This window comes from Homo sapiens, chromosome 4 (genome assembly GCF_000001405.40).
Source record: "Homo sapiens chromosome 4, GRCh38.p14 Primary Assembly".
Lineage (NCBI taxonomy): Eukaryota > Metazoa > Chordata > Mammalia > Primates > Hominidae > Homo > Homo sapiens.
The window spans coordinates 7,324,947-7,348,393 of NC_000004.12; the positions used below are offsets into that span (position 1 = coordinate 7,324,947).

General features: G+C 55.3%; 1 protein-coding gene across 8 annotated transcripts in view, besides 1 other annotated feature; it reads left to right on the forward strand.

Moving 5' to 3' along the window:
* SORCS2 (sortilin related VPS10 domain containing receptor 2) overlaps positions 1-23,447 on the forward strand; it is a 550,290-nt gene that overhangs the window by 132,409 nt on the left and 394,434 nt on the right. The gene's annotated exons all lie outside the window — the stretch shown is intronic.
* Positions 10,178-10,967: an enhancer, noted in NCBI's record as "H3K4me1 hESC enhancer chr4:7336851-7337640 (GRCh37/hg19 assembly coordinates)". NCBI's record gives its function as "activates a minimal SCP1, AML or CMV promoter by ChIP-STARR-seq in primed H9 embryonic stem cells {active_cell/tissue: H9 hESC(primed)}" and the evidence as "EXISTENCE:reporter gene assay evidence [ECO:0000049][PMID:30033119]".

Consider the following 23,447-nt stretch of genomic DNA (forward strand, 5'->3'; position numbering starts at 1 on the left):
CTGGCTCTGCTGAGCGCCCTGGCCTGGAAGGAGTCTCTCAACCTCTCCGTGAGATGGGAGGGCAGAAGGCAGTGGGGATGTGGGTGGCGCACAGGACCTTGGGCTGCAGACGAGGCTGTCATCCTGCTGCTGAGTGCACGCACCAAGCTCATCTGCATCATCTCCCCAGGTCCCCAGGCCCCCTTGGGTGGGGCGGGTGTTGGCCCCATCTGCAGATGAGGAGGTGCAGGGCACTGGGGAGTAGGTGGGGGGCTTTTCATCTTGGCTCTTTCCCTCTGGACAAAGGCACTTCAGGTGTGGCTCCAACACCTGCCAGCCAGGCAGCGCGCTTCACCTCCATGAGCCTCAGTGTCTGCGTCTGTTAAGTGGGGGTGATTGCTTTGAGGTTTAAATTAAATGTTGGCAAAAACCTACCTCCCGTGGTGCCCAGCACATCACAGACCCCTAGGAAATAATGAATGAATGAATGAATGAAGCAGGCAAGAAGGAACAGCTGGAAAAGCTAACTGGTTATCTTTATTCCTGAAAGGAGAAATTTGGGGAAAACTGTTGGTCTCACACAGCTGCAGGGCACTCGGGGCTTTCACTGGGCACCCTAAGGGCCTAAATGGGGCTGGGGGCAGCTCCGTGGAACTCAATGGTTTTAACTCTATGGATCTGGACTGTACTTTGCTGCGAGGTAATGAGTTCACTATACCTTGGGGACATGCACGGCGCTCTGGAAGGCCCCTTGGCAGGGCTTTTCCAGGCCTGGCCCTTCTCAGATGAGGGAATCAAGTGACTATGAAATTTCCCTGCAGCCTGAGCTCTGGGACCTTCCCTCCCCCCACGCCCACCCTCCGGTCTTCTTGCTCTTCAGGCACAGAGACACCCGTTACCATCCTCTAAGCATCTGTTGAGCACCAGACATAGGCAGTGATAACCCAGCGGGATCCATGCACTGGCGGGCGGGGCGGAGTTGGGGGGTTGGTACGCGGTACAGGGGGAGCCAAGAGAGTGGGAACCTCAATGTCCCTGAGTGGAGGGCGTGGGAGTGAGCAGGGAGGGCTTCTCATGGGAAGGGTCTTTGATGTTTTGATGTTCCAGTGGATTTCAGGGAATGGGGCAGCAGGGAAGGGTGTCAGGATGGAGAGATCAGCATTTACAGAGGCTCAGAGGCAGGTGGTGAGGGGCTGTGTTCTGGGAGCTTCTGGATAGGGGTTTGACCACATCACAAGATAAATAGTGGGGATGGGAGGCTCCAGGGGAGTTAGGATCACTGAGGGCCTAAGACAGAGGGTTCTGTCCTGCTGGCAGGAGGGTGTGGGGGTGCTCAGCAGGGGTGTCAGGATCTGGTTTACAGAGTCCTTGAGTCCACAGGTCATAGTGTGACCCTGGCATCGGGTGGCTGCTTGCTTCTGTCTCCTCGTCTGTAAAGTGGGTACAGCAGTGCCCCCCTCTTGGTTGTGAGACTGCAGTGGTGATGCCACACCCGGCCTGGTGCCCACAGCCCTGCCGCCCCAGCCGTGGATCTGCCTTCCCCTCCCCAAGCCTAAGCGTGAAGCATGGGGCTGCCGGCATGGGAACCTTGCCGAGGTCTGTTTTCTTAGGCAGACTCATCACCTGAACTGAACATTGGGGAATCTCTTCGTCCAGGTCAATTTGGAGCTGGTGCCAAGCACCCAAGGGGTGTGGAGGCTCAGCAGGGACCCCGGCCTGGTGCTGGGTACACACCACAGTGATGACAGCCTCGCCGCCAGGGCATGATGTCCTTTTCACCCTCTTGTCACCCTCCCAAGCCTGGGACAGCGGAGAGGCTGGAGGCGCTGTGACCCAGGCCCTGGTCAGGGGCCAGCCAAGCTTCCGCAGGCCCAGTGTCCGGGGCAGGAAGCGCTGCCGGCCGGAGGTGGGACAGGGCAGCTCCAGGGCTGGGGAGAGGCTGGCACAAGGCCAGCACGCCCTTGCTGCTGAACAGCCCCATTGATGGGCAGGCAGCGGGCAGTCAGGGTGCAGTGGCCTCTCCTGTTGTCCCCTGGTCACCCGTGGCTGAGGGCCTCCGGGCCTCCACCCCTGCCCACAGCTGCTTGGCAAGTCCTCCCAGGCTGTGTCACTGTGACCTGGATCCAGCTCTCCCCTGTCCCTGTTCTGATCTGCTTCACGGGGGGCTGGCAGGCCTGCAGAGTTAGGTGCTGGATGAGCCTCCTGCAGCTGCCGCCGCAACGTTCCACCGAGCTGGGGGCGTCAAACAACAGAAATGCATCCTCTTCCTGTTCTGGAGGCAGAGGTCTATAATCAAGGGAGTTATTGGGCCACTGGGCCTCCCAGGAGTCAGGAGGCTTTGGGGGAGGATCCTCCTCACCTGTCCCACCTCCGGTGGCTCCTGGCGAGGCTCTGTGCTCCTCGGCTTGCACCACATCCCTCCGTCTGGCTCTGTCTTCACGTGGCCCCTCCCTGTGTGTCTCTGTGTCCAGACCTCCGCTCCTCTCTTGTCTAAAGACACAGGGACGGGATTAGTATGAGCTCATCTTTATGTGGTTACATCTGCAAAGACCCCATTTCCAAGTAAGGTCACGTTTTGGGTCCTGGATAGATGGCAGCTGCCACCCTGCACTCAGCCTCCTGACCAGAGTCCCTGCTGGTCTCCCGGCTGCGTGGCTGCTTCTGCCCCAGCGTGTGTCCCTGTCCCAGAACTGTCCTGTGCTCATGCTTTCTGGGTCCCTCCAGGCCTTTGCCCCTGCAGTGTCTCCCGGGACGTCTCTTGTCTCTTGTGCAGACCCGTCAGACCCTTTGGTGTCCTTCGAGGCCCAGCCTCTCTGTGGCTTCCCCAAGAAGCCTCTTTTCCCTTCCTGAGTGCATGAGGGCTTGGCTTGTGTGACCGCCCCCCCCAACCCCGCCCCCGGCAACGTTGCTTTGGCTGCTCTGGGGCTGCTGACCGTGCTGTCCTGGCCAGGGCATTTGATGCCTGTTCTTGTCCCCCTCCAGACCAAGGGCTCCTGAGGTTGCGGACTCTACTATGACACGTCTCAGGAACTTCCTTCTCTTCCTCATCATCAGAGTTTGAGGACCTACTGTGTGCTGAGCCTCGTGCTAGGCTTTTTTTTTTTTTTTTTTTTTTTTTGAGACCAAGTCTTGCTCTATCACCCAGGCTGGAGTGAAGTGGCATGATCTCAGCTCACTTCAACCTCTGCCTCACAGGTTCAAGTTATTCTCCCACCTCAGCCTCCGGAGTAGCTGGGATTACAGGCACCCACCACCATGCCTGGCTAATTTTTTTTTTTTTTTTCATTTTTAGTAGAGATGGGGTTTTACCATGTTGGCCAGGCTGGTCTTGAACTCCTGGCTTCAAGTGATCCACCCACCTTGGCCTCCCAAAGTGCTGGGTTTACAGGCATGAGCCACCGCACCCGGCCCGTGCTAGGCTTCTGATAGATGTTTGTCACTGAATCCTCAGGGCTCTTCTAGGAGGCAGGAGCTGTGACCATTTCCATTTGCAGGAGAGTAAACGGAGGCACCTAGATGTTAAATCGCTTGGCCAGGGCTTCAAAGCTGGGACTGAGGCACAGATCTGCACAGGTTTGTTTTAGTGAGGGCTCCTTGAGGGCTGCCCAGGTACAAGCCCCAGGTAGCCAGAGTGGAGTTCGTTCATTCATCCATCCATTGATTCATGCGAGAAGCGTTTCTGGAGCACCTTCTCGTGCTCTGCCTCAGGTACCTAGCTGCCCACCGACAGCCCTGCCCTGGCCTCACGGACTTGGGTATGTCAGAGAAGCAAGACAGATGCTTCCCTGCTCCTCACAGCTGCAAGGGGCCTTGGAGACAAGTCCTGGTCTTGCCACTCACCCAGTCTGTGGCCCCGACCAGGGGCTACCCTCAGCACTTGCTGGCAGAGTTGCCTCAGCCAGCCCATCTCTACCGTCCCTTCCGGCCTGAGGATGAGCATCCATGTCCAGCAGCCCCACTTGCCGGCACCCTTGGCAGTTAGCTCAGGGGAGGGACTGGGCTCCTGAGTCCCAAGCACCCTCCGCAGACCGCTCTTGGCTGACAACGGCTGGTCAGGTGAGGTGTGTGGCCCCCCGAGGCCAGGCCCATGCGGAGCCCTCATGCAGGAAGGCCATGTGTGAAGGCCACACGGAGGCGACCGTGGCTCTGAATCCCTGCCAAGCCTGTGCCCCAGCCCTGGGAAAGAATCCACAGGCATTCTCCAAGTCCGGTGACTCAGAGCTCCCAAGCCGAGAGCACAGGGCCAGCTTCCTCCACTCAGTAGGGGCTCCGAATGGCCCACAGAGCCCTGGCTTACAGGCGGGCCCGGGGCCTGGGAGGGCATGGTGTCAGTCTGCCTACGTGGACCCAGCAGCATTCACACTTGGCAAGAGGACAGCCACCAGGGTCTGGGTATGTGGGAGCCAGGAGGAGCTTCAGGCAGAGCAAACGTCGTAAAAGAAGACTCTTCCCACCCATGGAGGACACCTCCCGGGCCAGCCACCCTGAGCCACGGTGGCAATGGTTAGTGTCTGCGCTGATAGTCATGTGTGCCGCTGAGGGGGTCCCCTGAGATGCTGGACGTGGCCCCTACCCTGAACACACAGCAGCTGCAGGTAGCTCAGTCTGGGGGAGAGGCCTCTTCATGGCAGGTTTCTTTGGTGAAGACCTTCAGCCCAGTTCTCCTGCCAAACACATTGCAGGAGAGAAACACGAAGAAGCATATGTAAGTTTCCCACCGCTGCTGTAACAAATGCCCGCAAACTTACTGGCTTGAGACAGCACAAATGTACAGACAGCCCCCAACTTACAATGGCTCAACTTAACATGTTTTGACTTCACAACAGTGTGAAAGTGACATCCATCCTGCAGAAACTGTACTTTGAATACCCATACAACCTTTCCAGGTCAGCCAGGCTCAGCCACGGTGTTTGGTGGTTAGGGGGAGTAAATGCATTTTTGACTCAGGATATTTGCAATTATGTTGCATTTATCTGGATGTGGCCCCATCTTGGGTCGAGGAGCACCTGTTTGGTCTTACACTTTGAGAGGTCAGAAGTCTGAGATGAGTCTTAAGGGACTAAGCTCAAGGTGTTGGCAGGTGCGGTTCCTTCTGGAGGCTCTAGGGGAAAATCTGGTCCCTTGCCTCCCCCAGCTTCTTAGGGGCCACCCGCATTCCAACCCCTTCCCTCACATCACTCCAGCCTCCCGCTTCCATTGCCGCCTGTCCTGGCTCCTGCTTGGTCGTCCAATCTCCCTCTTCCTCCTGCTCTACAGGGACACGTGTGATTGCATTAGGGCCATCTGGATAATCCAGGATAATCTCCCCATCCCGAGAGCCTTCACCTAATCACATCTGCAAAAGCCCTTTGACCACGTGAGGCGACGTTCCCAGGTTTAGGGAATTAGGACATGGACACCTTTTAGGGGCTGTGATTCAGCGTATCACAAAGAGCTTCTCGGCAAATTTCAGGTCAGGGCAGCTGTGCCCAAAGGTGCCTGCGCCCTCTCTGGAGGATGAGTCTGGTTGAGCTGCGATTCCTACCATCCACCCCCACGCACACCCCTGACGTCCAAGTCCAATGCTGCCTGACTGATGGGGAAAGAGCGAGTCTGTGTCACCCTGGGGCTTGTGGCTGGGGCGAGTCCTCAGCTCTCCTGGCTCCTTCTGCTTGGCATGGCACCTCTGGAATTTAGAAATGAAATGGACATTTAGAAACAACGGCTAGAATTTAGAAGTGAAAGTCAATGCCCGCTGTGCTCTGCAGTGCAACTTACATCCATGCTCACCTTGGAACTTCGCACCTGCCCTCAGAGGCAGGATGTCTACCTTTGCTCAGGTGATCAAGGAAACGGAGACTTCCAGGGAAGGAACATTCCTGAGGTCTCTCAGTGAACGCTTGGCAAGCTAGGGTGCCCCCTAGGCACACCCCCAACACCTCTCCCACCACGTGTGTTCCACAGACGTGGACTCGCGGCCGCCATGGACAGGACGCTGTCCTCAGTGCTGGCACATCTGTGAACAAGGCTCGCTGCCACAGCCTGCAGGCGCTCACCCTCCTGCGAGGGAGAGGAATGTGGGTGCTGAGGCTGGGGGTGAGAAGATCCAGGGTGAGGGCTCCAGGCAGAAGGAATGGCAGAAGCAGAGGCCTGAGGGAGTCTGCGCTTGGTGTGCTCCAGGGCCAGGGAGGGCTAGGGGCGGCGAGAGGCTGGGGGTGGGGACAGGGTGGAGGAACTGGTGAGGAGGAGGCTGTGTCACATGGTGGGGGGGCTTCACCCCCATAGAGGAGTCTGGGTTTCATTTTCCGTGGGCTGGAGACTGCTGTGGGGCTCGGCATGCACCTCACGTGACCTGGGCCTGGGCTGGGGCAGGTTCTTGGGGCTGGGGTGGTTGGGGTGCAGGTCTTCACTCCTGGCAGGGTGATCCTTGGCTGAGACAGCTTGGAGTCACCCTACAGCAAGGCAGAAGTGGGGGTGGGTGATCGACCCTTGCTGCAGGTATGGACCCCACACTGTGTGTTTTCATGAAGCTGGGAGTGACAGTACCCACGCGGGAAGGAGGTACGGACTGCGGTCCCCTAAGAGACCCTGGTAGAGCTGATGCCTCAGTTCAGCCACAGGTGGGAGGAAAGGGCTTTAGAGTCAGAGCAAGTGAGGGATTGAGAAACCCAGTGGGGTGTGGGAGGGAAGGGCCTGTCTTTAAGATCCTCTACAGCAGCAGGTCTGAGACTCCTGTCCACCCACGCCCCCGGGGATCTTGTTAAAATGCACATTCTGATTCAGTGGGTCGGGGTGAAGCAGGAAAGTCTGTTTCTAACGAGCCCCCAGGTGGCTGACGAAGCGGGTCTGCAGAGCGCCTTGGAAGGCAGGGGTCAGTGGCTTCAGTCCTTTACCTCCTGTGAGCCCTGGACCCCTGCTGGGAGGATGGCAGGCGCCCCAAGTGACAGGTGGGGACACTGAGGCTGCAAGAGCGAAAGGAGCTGTCTGAGATGTCGCAGGCATTCCTACAGGGTATGACTGGGGCTGGAGCCTGGGTCTGTATCCAGCGTCCGCCCTCTGCCAGGCCGTCCTGAGAGCTGAAGACTCCCAGCTAAGGCTCTTTCTGGGGGTGAGATTAGGGGTACAGCTTGTTAATGGAGGAGCATCCACAGGCCAGTCATGGCTCAGAGGAGAGGGAGAGAACGCATGTTTAGTGAGCACCAACTGTGTGCCTGGCATTTCCTTTGTCCTTGCTACAGGAGAGCATCCTTATCTTTGCTCCTTCAGTGCCAGGAGCTCAGGAAGGGCCTGCTGCCCTGATGTGGGGGGCTCTCAGCCAGGCCAAGGTGACCGAGAAGTGCCAGCTGGGTGTGGGATGGTTTGCCACATGCAGGCAATCCCGGGGGCCCTGTCCGCAGGCTCTGTCCACGTCTCAGCTCCTCTGAGGCTGCTCTCCAAGAACAGGACCACAGAGGCACCCGCAGCCTCCTGCAGACAGTGGGTGTTCTCCAGATAGGAATGTGGTGGCCCACAGCCAGCTCCCATGATACAACTGCCTCTGCTTCTGTCCAGGGGAGGATGGAGGAGTCACACTGAGCCTGGAGAAATCAGCTTCCCCCGACCCACTGTGACCCCCGACCCTGGCCTAGGCAACACTCTCCGGGCTGGGCATGTTGACGGCAGACTTCAGCCCCATGAAGCAAAGCATCTAGAAGCATATGAGGGGTGCTCACCCTGAAGGACTCAAAACTCACCCAATCCACTGGGCCACCTGTCTAGAGGCAGATGGGGAAGTCACACCCTGTGCAGGGCTGGAGCCTCCAAATCCAAACAAACCCGAGTGAGCACAAGCCCCTCTTGGCTCCCAGCGCTGCCTGTGGATGACATGACCTCAGCCTCTGATGGGGACATGGTGGCCTGGCCACTGGGGATGGGGCAGAGTGTGGGTGAGGCAGGAGGAGGGCAGGATGTGGACTCTGCCACCCCCAGGCTTACGTCCCAGCTCAGCCTTTTACCAGATGTGGCCTTGGACCAGTCTCTGTTTCCACATCAGCAAAACAGGGAGAGCCATATTTACCCAGCGGAGTTTTGAGGAGGGTTAGAATAGGTGTTCCACGTGGAAGGCACCTGGCACGGAACAGGCTCCTGGGGGCTGGTCTTTATTCACAGAGTGTGTAGCTTGTTGGCTGTGGTCGTCACAGCAGGAGAGCAAGTGGATGGGACAAGGCGGTGTGGCCGTGCAGGCAGGAAGGCAGCCTGCCCCACCTCTGCCTCTGACCCCACCCCACTAGGGCATCCCATTTCTGACTGGCTGAGTTTCGGAGGAGCAGCCAAGGCAGAACCCTGGTGCCCACACCTGCCTCTTGCGTTGGGTGTTGCTTCCTCTGCCCCGGGGCTGGAGTGACTTCCTAGCTGAGTCCCCCTCTCACTTTCTGCCTAGCTGGCTGATGGGACCCACTGCAGTTACCCATGAAGCTGCTGAAGGTGTTAAACGTGTTCCCGTGTGTGATGTTGGCCGGTGCGGCAGCCCAGATGGGACATCCTCTTCTGCTCTGTTGTGGGGGTGTTTTGGTGGGACGTGCTCCCTAAACTGCACAGGGCCCAGCCTGCAGGAGGGGCTCACTCGGGGGACTTTCTGGCCCAGCCTCTGAGTTTCAAGATCGGGAGACTGATGTCCAGAGAGGGGCCACTGGGTGCCCAGGGCCCTCGTCGTCCACCTCCCTGCCTCACCTGGGGACTGGCCAGGCCCCTGACTGCGTGTGCCATTGCTTCCCCCAGACCCTGACTTAGCCCAAGCCCAGGGGCCCAGGTCTCCCCACAGGTTCCAAGCCTGTTATTTTCATCTGAAAGTTATAAGAAGGCAGCTGTGGGTGAGATACATTTAACATGAAGTTGTATCTTGTGGTCAGTGCTTTCTGTCAAAACATTTTGCCTCGCTGAGCTGGGCTGGGGAAAGGGGCCAGGGAAGCCGCATTTCTCCAGCTGGAACTCACAGTGGGAGCTGGCTGTTGACTAAGAAGGCAGGAAGAAGGCAGGGCTGGCCTCTGATCCCGCTTCTCCCATCTCTGCCCCTTGGGCCTAGCCTCCATACTCAGCTGGGGACAGCGTCCCCTGCTGCCAGAGCCGACTGGGACCTTGTCCAGCCTCACAGCTTCCTGAGGCTCCGCGTCAACTCTGGGGTGACAACCAAGCTCCTCCCCACCTTAGTCCCCCGGCCCCTCACCCTCCTCTCAAGAGCCCACGAGGGCGGCACAAGTGAAACGTCCAGGGTGCAGAGTTTAAGAAGGTGCCCACACAGGCATGTTGGGTGCAGGGCTGGGCCTGGCAGTGAGGCTCTCCCCAAACTTTGCGCACCCCGGGTCCTGGCCCTGCTCTCAGCCCCTTCCCGCAGCAGCCACCTTGGACCTCCTCCTTCCCCAGCCTGCCTTCCTTCCCCATCACCTGGCACCTGGCGCTCCCCTACACTCCTCCCTGTCCCCCTGGTCAGTCCTCTCACCCGCCCCTCCTTCCCCAGATTCCACAGCCCCCCAGGGGCTGGTCCCCCCTCCCATTCCTCCCGTTCCTTGTTGTGTCTGCCAACCCCAGACAGTGAGCTCTGAGGGCCAGGCCTAGCACAGAACCTGACACCTGGGGGGTGCTCAGTGAGCATGCTTGAGGGGTGGCAGCTGAACTTTTGTTTGTGGGTAATTAGGAGCAGACAGTAGGGTCACCTGGACCTTGTCAGTTCCTGCAGCAACAGGGATTCAGAGGCGGGGAGTGTGCACATGCGCTGAGGACACAGGGGAGGTGGACACGGTCACTGCCTTCCTGTGGTCACCGACCAACCCAAGGCAGCCCATAATGATCAGGTGGGGAGGTTGCCACGGACAAAGTGCCTGGGCCCAGAGAGGGGAGACCTGTCCTCCTGGCCGGCTTCATGGAAGAGGTGACGTGTGAGCAGGCCCTGTAGGATGATAGGAGTTGGCCTGTGGAGCTGGCAGGGTGGGAGTTCTTGGTGAGAACAGCGAGTGTCAGTATCAGGCATCTTCTGGGAGCGGAGGGAAGTGCTCTGAGGCTGAGGATTAGGAGACGGGTGTGGAGGGAGGGAGGGAAATAAAGCTAAAGGGATGGACTGAGATGCAGTCGGCTGGGCCATGGGCTTTGAACCTGATCTCAGTAGCAGTGGGGAGCCATGGAGAGTTTTACACAGAGGGCATCTGTGTCCCTTCAGCTCCCATTCTGCAGCACCCGGCCCAGAGCTGGGAATCTGTGCCGTGGTCAGATCCAAATTTGTGTTAGAAATTCTGAGTATCCTCGTCCGGGGCACACGCCTAGTTTTCCTCTCTACGTTCAAGTTTTCACCTGTTCAATTCCAACCACAGGGCAAGAGATGTCTTGTTTTTCATTGTCTTTGTACAAGTCTCCCCTTAGTCTGGGAAATCAGAAAAAAGAGAAAGTGTTTCTGTTCTGGGCCCTCCCTGGGGAGTGAAGGGAATTTTATGGGGAGGGGAGATGCTTTGATAACCCAAACATTTTGCAGAGAACCCAAACATGGGAGAGGAATTCCTCCAGGCCCGACAGACCCCACACGTGCTGAGCGCTGCCTTCCCAGGACGCCTTTTCTTTCTCTCTGGGCGGGCCTCACCCTGCCCCGCCTCTTGCTCCGGCCCGAGGCCTCATCTGTCGGGGCACCCGAGGACGGCCAGTTCAGGAGGCAGCTGCAGTCTTGCTGGAGGCGGGCTGGGGTGGTTTTCCAGGGCTGTTCACTGGCAGCTCCCATCCCTCCACGCACACAGCCCCTTCAGGCTTTCTGAGCTCACCCACTGCTCTCAAGAATGGCATTTGGCCCATTTTACCTTCCAGGAGGTTGAAGCTCAAGGAGGTTGAAAGACTTGCTCGGGCTCCCGGCTGGGGGGTGTGGCGTGGCGACTGGAACAGGCCCAAGTGGCTTAGATCCTCTGCTGCAAGGAGGGATGCCTGGCATGGAGTGCGGGTGCGGGGGTGAGGCCTGGAGACCCAAGCTGGCTTGGCAGGGCCTACCGGTGACCTGAGCTGCCAGGGTTAGGGCACAGACCCAGCTCGTGTCTCAGCTCTGCCCCCTCCTGGCCGGGGCTTGGCATGCGCCTGAGTCTGTCCTTTGTGACTTGGGGGATGATGGTAAGGTGACTTCCTGTCACCATAAGCGCTGTGTGCAGGGGCTCACTTGCCCTCCTGGAGTGTCAGGTGACAATTGCCAGCTTCCGCGTCCCCATGTGTGCTGTGATTCGAGGGTGCTGGAAGGAAGGAGGGCACTGATAGCTGAGGCCCCGCTGCCCCTGCCCTGCGTCCTGGTCGATTGCTCGTGGTGGAGATGGCCCCTACTCTCCCTCACTGGGGTTTCAGGGAGCCGTCTGCTCTGCTGAAGGGAGGAGAAGCATCCAGCGGGCAGCTTGGGGATGCTGCTGGCTTCTGGGTGGCGGTGTCTCCCAGTGGAGAGCTCTGAGACTGCGACTGCTGTCCTCCTTCCCAGAGACCCCCAACTCCCCGGAGGCCCTTGGCCCCGGCTGAGATCAATGCGAACAGATGGATGAAGGACTCTTGTCTCCAAGGATGGGGTTTCTAGGGTCCCAGGACCTCCTGTTCGCATCTTGGTGGAAGCGCCAGTAGCACCTTGGGTGAGCCGTGCCCAGAACAGATGGATGAAGGACTCTTGTCTCCAAAGATGGGGTTTCTAGGGTCCCAGGACCTCCTGTTCGCATCTTGGTGGAAGCGCCAGTAGCACCTTGGGTGAGCCGTGCCCAGAACAGATGGATGAAGGACTCTTGTCTCCAAGGATGGGGTTTCTAGGGTCCCAGGACCTCCTGTTCGCATCTTGGTGGAAGCGCCAGTAGCACCTTGGGTGAGCCGTGCCCAGACGCAATCCCTGAGCAGCTTGGGTGGCAGGCTCCAGAGGCTATTGGAGTTGGCACTTTGGGCTCGGGGCCCAGTTGGCAGAGGCTGTGTCCCCACGGAGCTGGGAACAGAAGGCCCTGGGTCTGAGTCCAGGTTCCGTGAGATCCTGGACTTGTCCCTGAGCCGCCCTGAGCCCCAAGTTCTCATCTGAGAGTGGGAGCCATGACTCTCCTTTCAGCGCGGTGGTGAGGATTGATTGAGCTGACTTACGTCAGAGTGCTGGGAATCACACACAATCGTGGCTGAGAAGAGAGAGGCTGGCTTTTTGTGCCGAGGTCCAGTTCTCCGTGTCAGAGTCCATGTCATGACCCACTCCCGTCTGGAGCCTCACCGAGGGCAGATGTTTAGTCTAGAATTGCAGAAGGTGGGGCTGGAAGGGATTTTAGAGTGAATCCATTCACTGATCCCTGCGTTCATTTACTCATGACGATTAGTCAAACACCTACTGTGTGCGGGGCCTTATGGGGAGACCTGACGGGGAGGGATGTGTCCCAGCCCACCTGCAACGTGCGGTCTGCTGGCCGAGAGAAGCACTCTGCAAATAATGGCATGGGTGGTTGTCAGGGGGCAGGAGTGGTCAGGCTTCATGCCGGGAGAAGGTGCCCGCACTGGATCAGGAGGCCTTCCTGAGCAGGCGACCTTCAGACTCATACTTGGTGGAAGTTCAGGCAGAGGTCGGGGAGAGTTCCAGGTAGCAGGGAGCGCAGGTGCACCGGCCCTGAGGGCAGCGGAGACCTGGCTTGTTGGAGGAGCTGGCAGGAGGTCAGGTGGCTGACAAGACAAGGCTGGTGGTAGTAGGCCATGTGGGCCTTGCAGCCACGGCCAGAGGGTTGGATGTTGAAGATGGTGGGAAGCCAGGGAGAGCTCTACACCCGCACGCTGGGGCAGCATTGCTCCCTGGCTGCAGAGTCTAATGGAAGACAAGGAATCCCAGCCGCCCTTAGCCAATGCGTGCAGTGAAGTTCTTACTCCCTACCAGGGTTTGTCTGGCCACCTGTGAGCCGGCCCTGTGCCTTCCACCTGCACCTTCCCCCTGCCACTCCCAGCTCCTGAGAGCTTCCAGAGCAAGCCTGCCACCCACACATGCTCCCACATGCTGCCCCCTTGCTGGAAACACCCAGCCCTGCCCTGCAAGCCCAGGGTTCCTCTGCGGACCTGCTGCCCTCTCTGTGGTCCCCACAGATGCCCTAACCCTACTGTTGCATCCCCATCACCTGGGCATTGCGTACCTGCTGGGTTTTGAGCTCTATAGTGACAGCATCAGGTCTGGCACCTAGAAGATGTTGGCTGGCTGGCTGGATGGATGTTGGATGGATGTTGGATGGATGGATGGATGGATGGATGTTGGTTGCATGGATGGATGTTGGTTGGATGGATGGATGGATGGATGTTGGATGTTGGATGGATGTTGGTTGGATGGATGGATGGATGGATGTCGGATGGAAGGATGGATGGATGGATGGATGGATGCATGGATGTCGGTTGGATGGAAGGATGGATGGATGGATGGATGGATGGATGTCGGTTGGATGGAAGGATGGCTGGCTGGATGGATGTCAGTTGGATGGATGGATGGATGGATGGATGTCGGTTGGATGGATGGATGGTTGGATGTCGGTTGGATGGAAGGATGGATGGATGGATGGATGGATGAATGGCCTGCCAGGCTGCCTACCCACCGCCGAACAGAGCCCATAGATGAAGAGGTCATCTGTCCCTGTCTCTCTGTATTGGTGGGCAAACTGAGGCCCAGAGGCACCCAGCAGGGCCAGCCAGGGTGGGGCTGGCTAAGGGGTTCTGGGACTCTTGATACAGTGCTCTTTCTGTTCAGTCTCCTGCCCTCTCCAGCTTTGCCCACACCCCTGTCCCCATCCCTCAGCTAGGGCATAAAATGTTAATGCTCTCATTTATTCTTTAAAAATTAATTTAAAAGTATTTTATGTGGTGCCTCCATCACAGTTGGAAACCATTTAATTAATCCCAAGTGGCAGGACACCAGACAGCTTCCATAATTGTTATAATTCCTCTGGCCCAGAGGCCTGTTTCAAAGCTGTTGCTCCTGGGCCTCCAAGGCTCTGTGGACGGCAGTACTGTGGAAGGCACGTGGTCGTGCTGGGGCCGTGAAGCCATACCCGCACCAGGGAGCTGTTGGTCTTTACAGTAAACCCCAGGATACCCAGCAACCCCCTGACACACTTCTGGCAGGGCAGAGCCTGCCAGGGGAACTGCACCTCTTGGCCAAGACGGGCTCTTCCATTCTGCCTGGAAATTCACACAGATGTGGTATCACCTGCCATTTCGCCGTGGCCTGGATGTGAACTGTGGCCCGTGAGGGTGGGGACAGGAGGGCTGCTTTCCTAATAGAGAAAACCAGCCCATGGAGCGCTGCCCTTTTTCTCACCCCTCCGTGTGCACAGCTACTCTTGGGTAGGAACCAAGGCTTTCTCTTTGAGAAATGGCCATCTGTGGGACAGGAGGCACCAGTATGAGTGACAAGACAGCTTGATCCAAGGATGTGCACAGGAAGGAGGACTCCTGACTGCAGTGCAACAGCTGGTGTAGGAAAGTTGTATGAGTCAGCCACAGCTGCGTAACAAAGTACCACGGGCAGTTCTGGAGGCCGGAAGCCTGAGATCGAGGTGCCTGCAAGGTTGGCTGGGTTCATCTGCAGCTGGGTGGGGGCAACTGTCCCAGGCTGCTCTGCAACTTCTGGGGGCTGCTGGCCATCCTTGGCGTGCATGGCCTGTAGATGCCCCACCCTGGTCTCTGCCTGCATCTTCACACGGTGTTCTCCCGGATAGCGTCTCTGTGGCCATTTTTGTCAGGACACCCAGTCATATTGGGCTCACCAAATGACCTCATTTTACCTTGATCCCTTCTGTAAAGGCCCTATCTCCAAATAAGGGCACATTCGTAGGTCCTGGGGGTTAGGACTTCAACATAGGAATTTTGGGGAGCACAGTTCAACCCATAAGAGGGAGAAAGCGAAGAACCAGCTCAGACGTGTTCATATTTGCAAATCCTGGGTTTGGGAAGTCCTGGGAGGAGTGTCTCCTAAAAGGGAGGGTCTCCAGGAAGATGTCAAGGGAGAAGGCCCCAACCCAGGCTCTGCCAAGCAGCAGCTGCCATGCATCAGGGCTGCTTTCCATGAGGACTTGCCACACTTTACAGACTAGGACCTTGAGGCGAGGAGAGGCTGGGGGCTTGTCCGGGGTCAGAGATGCTGATAATTAGGAGGCCACGTATGAAGGGCCTGTGGGGCACTGGCCCAGGTGCTGGGGCTGCCAGGCCGCATGTTCAGGACCCAGAAGGGCTCACAAGATGAGTGTCCTTACCTTCATTCTACACAGGTTGACAATGAGGCTGGGAGAAGTGGATTTGAAAGGCCCGAGGCCCCACAGTTAGTAAGAGGCTGAGCCAGCACCACAACCCAGGCCTGTACGACCCTCACACTCCGCTGACCATGGCCCTGCCCCATGTGATGGAGTGTGGCCATGCCATTGCACACAGTGGGGCAGGGAGACTGGGTAGGAGCTGGGACTGAGGGTGTCAGGATGTGAGATGTTTGCTGCTAAAACCAAGACAGTCCAGGCAGACAGGGATGGCTGGTCACCATAGCAGGGCAGAGCCTCTGCGTGTCCTGGCGTTTTGTGGAGGGCAGCCCGGATCCTGGCCAGCGCCTACCCTGGAAGGTGCCAGCTTCCTCTGGGAAAGGCGCCCCCCAGGTGGCTTCTGTGAATCAGCTCAGGCTGCGTGCCACAGTCTCCTCCAGGCCCGTCCCTCACTGCGGGGTCTGAAACAGCCTCTTTCTGAGGAAATGGCTTTGAATACTCCTCTGCACTCTTGCACGTGAGCACGCTTGCACACCTGTGGGTGGAAACTCCCTGAGCTCCAGCTGCAGGCCCCACTTGCAGCTAGAAGGCAAGACCGAGGAAAAGAGAAGCTGTCAGTCAAGGGGAAACATGGGGCCCCAGGGGGCATTTAGTGACGCCCCCTATTCCCATCCTGCGCTTGGGACCCATTGAGAAATAAGACGCACAAGCCAAACTTTAGAGATCAAAGGTCGGCTTTACTATTGGCAAGGGTGGCTCTAGGTCTGCAGCCAGGAGAAATTGCTCCTCCCTCATCCCTGAGCCCCATCATTGGCCAGGCTGGACAATTGCACCCATCCCTGCTGCATGGCCAGAGCAGCTGGAACAAACCCTGCCTGCAGGCCACAGCATGAGCAGCAAAGGAAGCGTGAGGAGTGAGCAGGAAGCATGCCACATCTCAGAAAGGAAAATACAGATGTGCATGGTGGGGAGGATGGTCTTGTTGACTGCAGCGTCTCAGTCCTTGGCTGTAGGTCTGGCCCGAGGTCTGCGTGCAGGAAATGTTGGCGGATGGAAGCATATCAGTGGTGTGGAGTAGACCCTGGGAGTATCTGTGGGGAGCTGGTGAACCTTCTGCTCACGCTGCTCTGTTCCAGCCCCTGGGCCTTTGCACATGCTGTTCTTTCTCTCTTGGGTGCCCTTCTGCCTTGGCCTGTTCAAGGCCCAGCTCTAAGCTCCTCCTCCAGAAAGCCTTCCTAGTCCTGCAAATGGAGCAATCCTCCCAGCCCTGAACCCTGCGGGGCTTTGTCCCTCTCCTCGTCTTGTGTTGGCTGTTTGTGGCCAGGTTTGGCCTTCCTGGCTGGATTCTGAGCTTTCTTTGCTCATTTTCTCTCTACTCTTCAGGCTGTAAGAGGCCTGGCAGCAGGAGGTGCCCATGCTGCCTGGATGAACAAGGGACCAGGAACTGTTTTCTGAAGTGTGAGGCCAGAGGGCTCTGTGATGACCCAGCCACCATTTCCTGAGGTTCCATGCAGGGCCAGGGACCACATGTGCATGACATCATTCAATCTCCCAGGCAGCTTTTCTTCTTTATTGACATGAAATTCACACAGCATACAATCGATCATTTTGAAGTGTGGCTTCAGTGGTATTCAGTGCATTCACAGTGTGTGCAGTCACCACCTCAGCCTGGTCTAAAGCATTTTCATCTCCCCAAAAGGAAACTCCAGACCCATTAGGCACTTCCCATTTCTCCTCCTTCTAGTCCCTGGCAGCCACCAAGCTGCTTTCTGTCTCTACGGGTTTGCCTGTTCTAGATATTTTATGTTGATAGAATCATATATGATGTGGTCTTTTGCTTCTGCCTTCCTTTACAAAGCACAATATTTTCAAGGTCCAGTCACGTCATACCATGTGTCAATACCCCATTCCTTTTTCATGGCTGAGTAATATTCCGTGGTGTGAATAGACCACATTTTGTGTATTCCTTCATTTGTTGATGAACAATTGTGTTGTCCATCTCGGGTATTTGGGAAAGGCCTCGCCCATTCAAGGACTGAGTGCCCACTGGGTGCCAGGCTATTCTAGTGCTGGGAACAAGGGGCTGCAGCTCCTAAGGGCCAGTGACAGTGATGTGGACATGGGTCTGCCTCCTCCCCTGAGCTACTCACTGTGTCCTGACACTGTCGGCGGAGGGCTGCCTCTGACGTTGCCCCGGGCCCTGTGCCTGGAAGAGCCTGTGCTGGGTTTGTTGCTGCTGCCGCCATCTTGCCCTTCTTAATCATTTCTGAATGATTCCATTCATTTCATTTGGCATTTAGCCTTGCAGATTCCACAGCCGGCCCTGGTGAATCCGAGGGGGAAGCATGCCCTCCTACCTTTCTTCTTTCTTTATTCAGGGCTGGAGGGGCCTCTGGGGGCTGTCTTGGGGGCCAAGATGTGTCCTTTCACCCTTGGAGGTGCGGCGTGAAAGGGAGGTGGAGGCGAACCTTGCAGGGACCTTGGGGCCCGGCCTGCTTGCACCCCCTAGCTAAACACAGGGAAGAAGCCCTGCAAAGCTTCCAGCAGCCCTCCCTTCAGGACTTCCGAGGCCAGGGTAATGGTGTGTCCCCTATAAAGTTTCATGTAAAATAATCTGCCTTAAAGAATGGCCTGAGAGGGGTAATTGGCCGCTGGCATGGGCGGTAATTATAACGGTTGTTAACCCGCAGAGCTGTGAGCAGGCAGATGGGACTAATTTGATCTCTTCCGTTGTAAATTTCAGTTGCCAAGGTGGAAGGAAGCAGTCATTACCTTGAAGGTGGTGATGCCTGCTTCCCTGGGTGCTGGCCAAGGTCTCTGTCCTGGCTGTGTGGCCTTCAGAGGTACATGGAACTGAGGGACATAGGGTGGCTGCAGACAGGCCTGGGAAAGGGAGGGTGGAAAAGGGGACAGAGCAACGTTGACGTAGTCCCCGACCCTGTGGGCCCCGAGTAGCTCGTGATCCTCTGCCTGTGTTCTTCCGGGCACGGCAACAGGAGCATTAGGAGGGCAGAGGTCCTGGTCCTCCTGTCTGCAACATTGGCAAACGTGCCAGTCGCCCTCAGACGTGAGGTGGGCTGGTTGGCAGCATGGGCCTCAGGGAGTCACAAGGGCCCATACCACATCGTTGCTGGGGCCTCCTGCATTTGGGTGTCATGCCAAAGTGAAGGCCTGGGACGTTGGAATCAGCTGGGTTTGGGTTCAGCTTCCTGCCTGACCACTCGCTCAGTGAGTGACACCGGGCAAAGCCGATGACATGTCTGAGCCTCAGCTTCTTCACATGTAAGGTCGGCGTCCCTGTCCCCACACTGGAACAGGGCAGGCTTGGTGCAGGTGACGTGCACAGCCCCGGGTTCAGCACGGGAAGGGCTTTGATGAGTGGATCTCCCCATCCTGGCACCTGCTCCCTCTGCACAGAGCCTTGACCTCCGTAAGTGCAGGCGGGAAGCTCAGCCACTGAGAGCTCAGGCTCTGGGGCAGATGCCTGGCTTCAGACCCAGTGCGGCTGTTTTCTACCTGGGTGACCCTGCCTGCCTCAGTTTCCCCATCTGGAAAATAGCCCTTAGGAGGTCAAGAGGAAGCACTGTGGCAGATGGGGCCGCCACTAGCACCCACCTAGTGTTGAGTGGGTTGGTACACGGCGTAGAATAAGTCCTCAAGATGGGGGCAGCTCTCCACACCCAAAGCACCTGACTTCCTTCTAGCTCTGCTCCACGAGGAAGGTTGACAGGCCCTGTTGGAGGGGAGCCCAAGGCTTCCAGTTTCTGTGAGTGGCCCGAGGCCCTGCAGCTGGGAGGTGGCAGTGCCGGGGGTGCTTCCTGTGCTCCCCTGTAAGGCGTGGCCATGATGTGTGGTTGGGAGGATTAGTTGGCTTCTAGGCCCTGGTACAGATCCAAGTTGCCCCAAGATGTTCTTTCTCCTTGGCCTGCAAGTGAATACTGACACGGGAGGTATGGGGTGGGTGCGGTGTGGACGTGGAACCTGACACCCTGCTCTGCCTACGCACCTAGAGGTGCACGTGTCTGCTGTCCTTTGACTTAACTAACTATCAGGCAGTGCCATTTGCCCCCGCCATGCCCCCAGTGCAGGGCCTGGGATGGAAGGTCTCAGTGGCTTCCTCATCTGCTGAGTCCCATGTCATGGAGCCTTCTTTGCAGATGCTGAGCAGTTGTCCAGATGAGGAGGGTCACAGGTCCCCAGGAGCCGGGGCTAGTTTATCCCATGGAGGCTTCCAGAAATGACAGGAAACCAGGCGCCCTGCCTAGCACTCAGGCCTTCACTGCTGGCTGGAAGGGAGATGGGTGGATGGAGGGCCGAGTCTATGTGCTGTTACCTTGCAGCCTCTGCTCTGCTCCTTCATCACCTGGGTCCACAGAACAGCCCTAGTGAGACCCACTGGAGGGCAATGTGCCCCCATCAGGGGCTGGGAATTCCAGAAGGGGAGTAGGGCAGTGGGGAGTTTCCTTGCATGGGAGAGGATAGGGCAGTTTGAGCAGAGAGTGGACACTGAGGTGAGGGGCAGAAACATGCCTGGGACCAGCCGAGTCCTCCCACACTGGGCCAGGAGGTGAAGAGGAAGCACCGTGCTGGACAGGAAGCCTGGTGAATGGGTTGGTTTTGGGGACTGAGGCCTAAATGGGAAAGCGAATAAACCCCATACTGCACCTCACCCCTGATTCCCCCGTGTACTGACTCACTGTTTATCCTTGAAAACAGCAGACTACACGGCTGGGAGTCTGCGTGAGGAGCACAGTGGATCGGAGGGGGAGTCTGGAAGCTTTTGGCTGTGCTGTGCAGCTCTGGGGGCCACCCAGACCCCAGTCTCATTCTCCAGGCCCCTCCAGTCTGCTTTTGACTCGCAGATGACCCCTGGGGAGCCTCGGCCTGTTGTCCCTCCTGCTGCTGGCTGGAAGGGTAGGCTGTTTGCCACAAGTTTCCTCCCAGGGACTTGGATGGATTAGAGGGGGAAGGATTTTACCTTGTGATGAAAATGTCACTCGTACTATGCTGGGCCCCAATTTTCAAAGCAAAACTTTGGAGCGGTAGAAGCTTGTTCCAGAGAGCAGAGGCTGTGCTGTTTACATCTTCTCAGTGTCTGCCATGAAATCTTAAAACTTCTTAATGTTGGGGCACAGGACAGACTGAGCAGTGCTGTACTCCTAAGACCAATATTAAGCATAGAAAGTGCACATTGGGTGTGACTTCAGGACAGCTGAAGGACCTTAACTTGTCTGTTTGTTTAGAATCCTTCATGCTGTTGTTGGAAGGGGCTGCAGGAGCTTTACAAATGGTTCCATCAGTTTACAAACGAGGTCATGGACCTCAGTGAGGGGCAGTAACTTGGGGGTCTCCTGGCTTCCTCTCCAGTGCTCTTCCAGGCTATTTTGCTGAAAATAGCTGAGTATGACTCCAGTAATGCTGCTGGCTAGCTGCATCACTCTAGACAAGTCCTAGGACCTCTCCATAGACAAGTCCTAGGACCTCTCCAAACCTCCGTTTCCCATCTGTGAGATGCAATGACCTTTAAAACCTTTGATCATAGTATCTCTTTTCTGCTTAAAATCTTCCAGTGATGGCTTAATGCTCTTGGGGTGGAATCCAAGCACATCAGCGAAGCTCAAAAGATCTTTGGTAACCCTTCTGCAGCAGACCCAGTCTTCCTTCCTGCCGCCCTCTCTCCCCAACTCCATGCTCCAGTTTCTGGAGTTCCTCTGTGTCCCCTGTCCTCTCTTTTCTCTGAGTTTTCCCTCCGGTGGGTACCTGCCCTTAGAACACTTTCTTCCTCATCTGCCATCTTGTCTCTGGCCAACTTCTTCTCTTCCTTCATGCTCAGTCTAGCCAAAAGGTCTACCATTTCTGTTGATTTTCTCAAAGAACCAACTCTTGGTTCCATTTATTTTTCTGTGTAGTTTTTCTGCCATCTGTTTCATTTATTTCTGCTCTGATCTTTGTTATTTCCTTTCTTCTACTTACTCCAGGCTTATTTTTCTTTTTCTAGCTTCTTGAGGTGGAGCTTAGATAATTGATGTTAGGGTTTTCTCCCTTTTTAATACCAGCGTTTAAAGCTATAAATTTCCCCCTTTGCACTGCTTTAGCTGCATTATGATATGTTGTGCTTCAGTTTTATTCAGTTTATTTTCTAATTTCCTTAGTGATTTCTTCTTTGAGCCATGGATTATTTGGAAATCTTTTGTTTATTTTTCAAATATTTGAGATTTTCCCAAATTTCTTTCTAATATTGATTTCCAATTTGGCTCCATTATGATCAGAGAACATACTTAGAATGATTCCAACCCTTTAATATTTACCGAGACTTGTTTTACAGCCTAGCATGTGATCTATCCAGGAGAATGTTTTATGTGCACTTGAAAATAATCTGTACTCAACTGTTATTGGGTGGAGTATTTTATAAATGTCAACTAGGTTAAGTCAGTTGATAATGTTGCTCAAGTCAAGAGCTACTGATCTTCCACCTACTTGCACTAATAATTATTGAGAGTAGGACACTGAAGTCTTCAACTGCAGATGTAGAATTGTCTTTTCCTTCTTTCAATTCTGTCAGTTTTGCTTCATGTACTTTAGGGCTATGTTGTTAGGTGCATATATATTTGTACTTGTTATATCTTCCTGAAGGATTGATCTTCCTTCTCTTTCTTCAGCCACACTTAAACCAATCTTCCCAGATGTCAGACAATGCTAGTTTCTTCTACCATGAGTTCCCAGGGTGTCTTAATGTCCATCATAACATTCATCAAACTGTACTATAATTGCTTGAAAATTTCATGAGATCAGGGAGCATGTCAAGCCTATTTAGCTCTTTATGGTCAGCACTTAACACAAAGACTATACATACATAGTAGTAGGTGCTCTGTAAATATTTGCTGATTGAATGAAGAATAAGGTCATATCTATGAATTATATTAATAATGATTATTTAAAAAATTTAGTGCTTGAGGATGGCTATGACCCAGCCCACTTAGGTATCATATCAGGATTTCTGAACATAATTGAGTTGGGACAATGCCTTTGCCCAAGGGAAGCTGTCAGGCAGCTCCTTCAAGCCTTTGTGTTTGGGACCACACGGGGTCACCTGTCTCAGGTGGGGCACCTGTGCCAGTCCTACTTTCTCTTTGGATTGGATCTGGCATTGGCTCATATGTTGTTATTGTCCACCTGTTTCTCTGCAAGCATTCTCCTTGGCAACCCTGAATCCATTTACGATAGAATTCCCATGGGCCACGCCTCGTGCCGGATGTCAAGGACATATCAGTGAATAAGAATAAAAAGCACCTATTGTGTGCCAGGCATTCTGCTGGGCCCTCTATATGCCTGTTTCAGCCTCGTGATGACCCAGTGAGGCATAGGGACTCCCATAGCTCCTTGCAGACAAAGAACTTGAGTGAGGCCCAGGGAGGTTAAGCAGTTTGTTCAAGATCACACAGCACTTACGTGGTAGAGCTGAAAAACTCACCTGAGTGGTTCCAAATCCCACGCCTATCTCCACTCCTCCCTTCTCCCCAGAGAGGTGAGGCATGCCATTCTGATCCTGTGGATTTGTGTGGACACTTTCCTCTGATATTAAACCACCATGTGTTTAAACCACAGTATCTCAAAGGAAAGGGGAAATTTTCTGTAGTTAGTACATTTTAAGGCAAATTAACCTTGATAACATCTTTAATGTCATGTATTAGACTATTTTCCCTTAGTAATGCATTACAACTGTCAGGCCCGATATGATCGCACAATTAATGAGATTACACATGATGTAAATTTCAATTCATTATTACAATGTCTGCACTAATAGACTTGCGATTAATACCCACAAACCATGCTAGTTCAAAAGGACAACTTTTCGTGAATCACATGAAATGAACAGGCACAGGCAACCACAATTTTGATGAACGGAAGTGAGAATGATTTCTGAGGATGATCTTGTCTAATGATTTACTAAGATTAGCAATAAAGATAGAGTTAATTAAGAGAGTCCCTCGTGTCAGGCCAAGGAGCCGGAGGAGCCGATGTGAGACAGGTCATCTTGTGAATTTCTCCCTGGGTCAGCCTTTTGGAATTCCTGGGGAAATTACTCACCATTAACTCTACGTCCTTCAGGCACTTCATTCTTCCAGCTTTCTCACAAGGATTATGAAATTAGAGTTCATTCAGAGAAAGCATATTGTGCGAGGAAACTGTTCTGTGAACTTGAAGAATAATAAAAACAACTCTGATTTCTTGAGGGCTTATGCTGTGTCGGACACCGCTCTTAGAGGC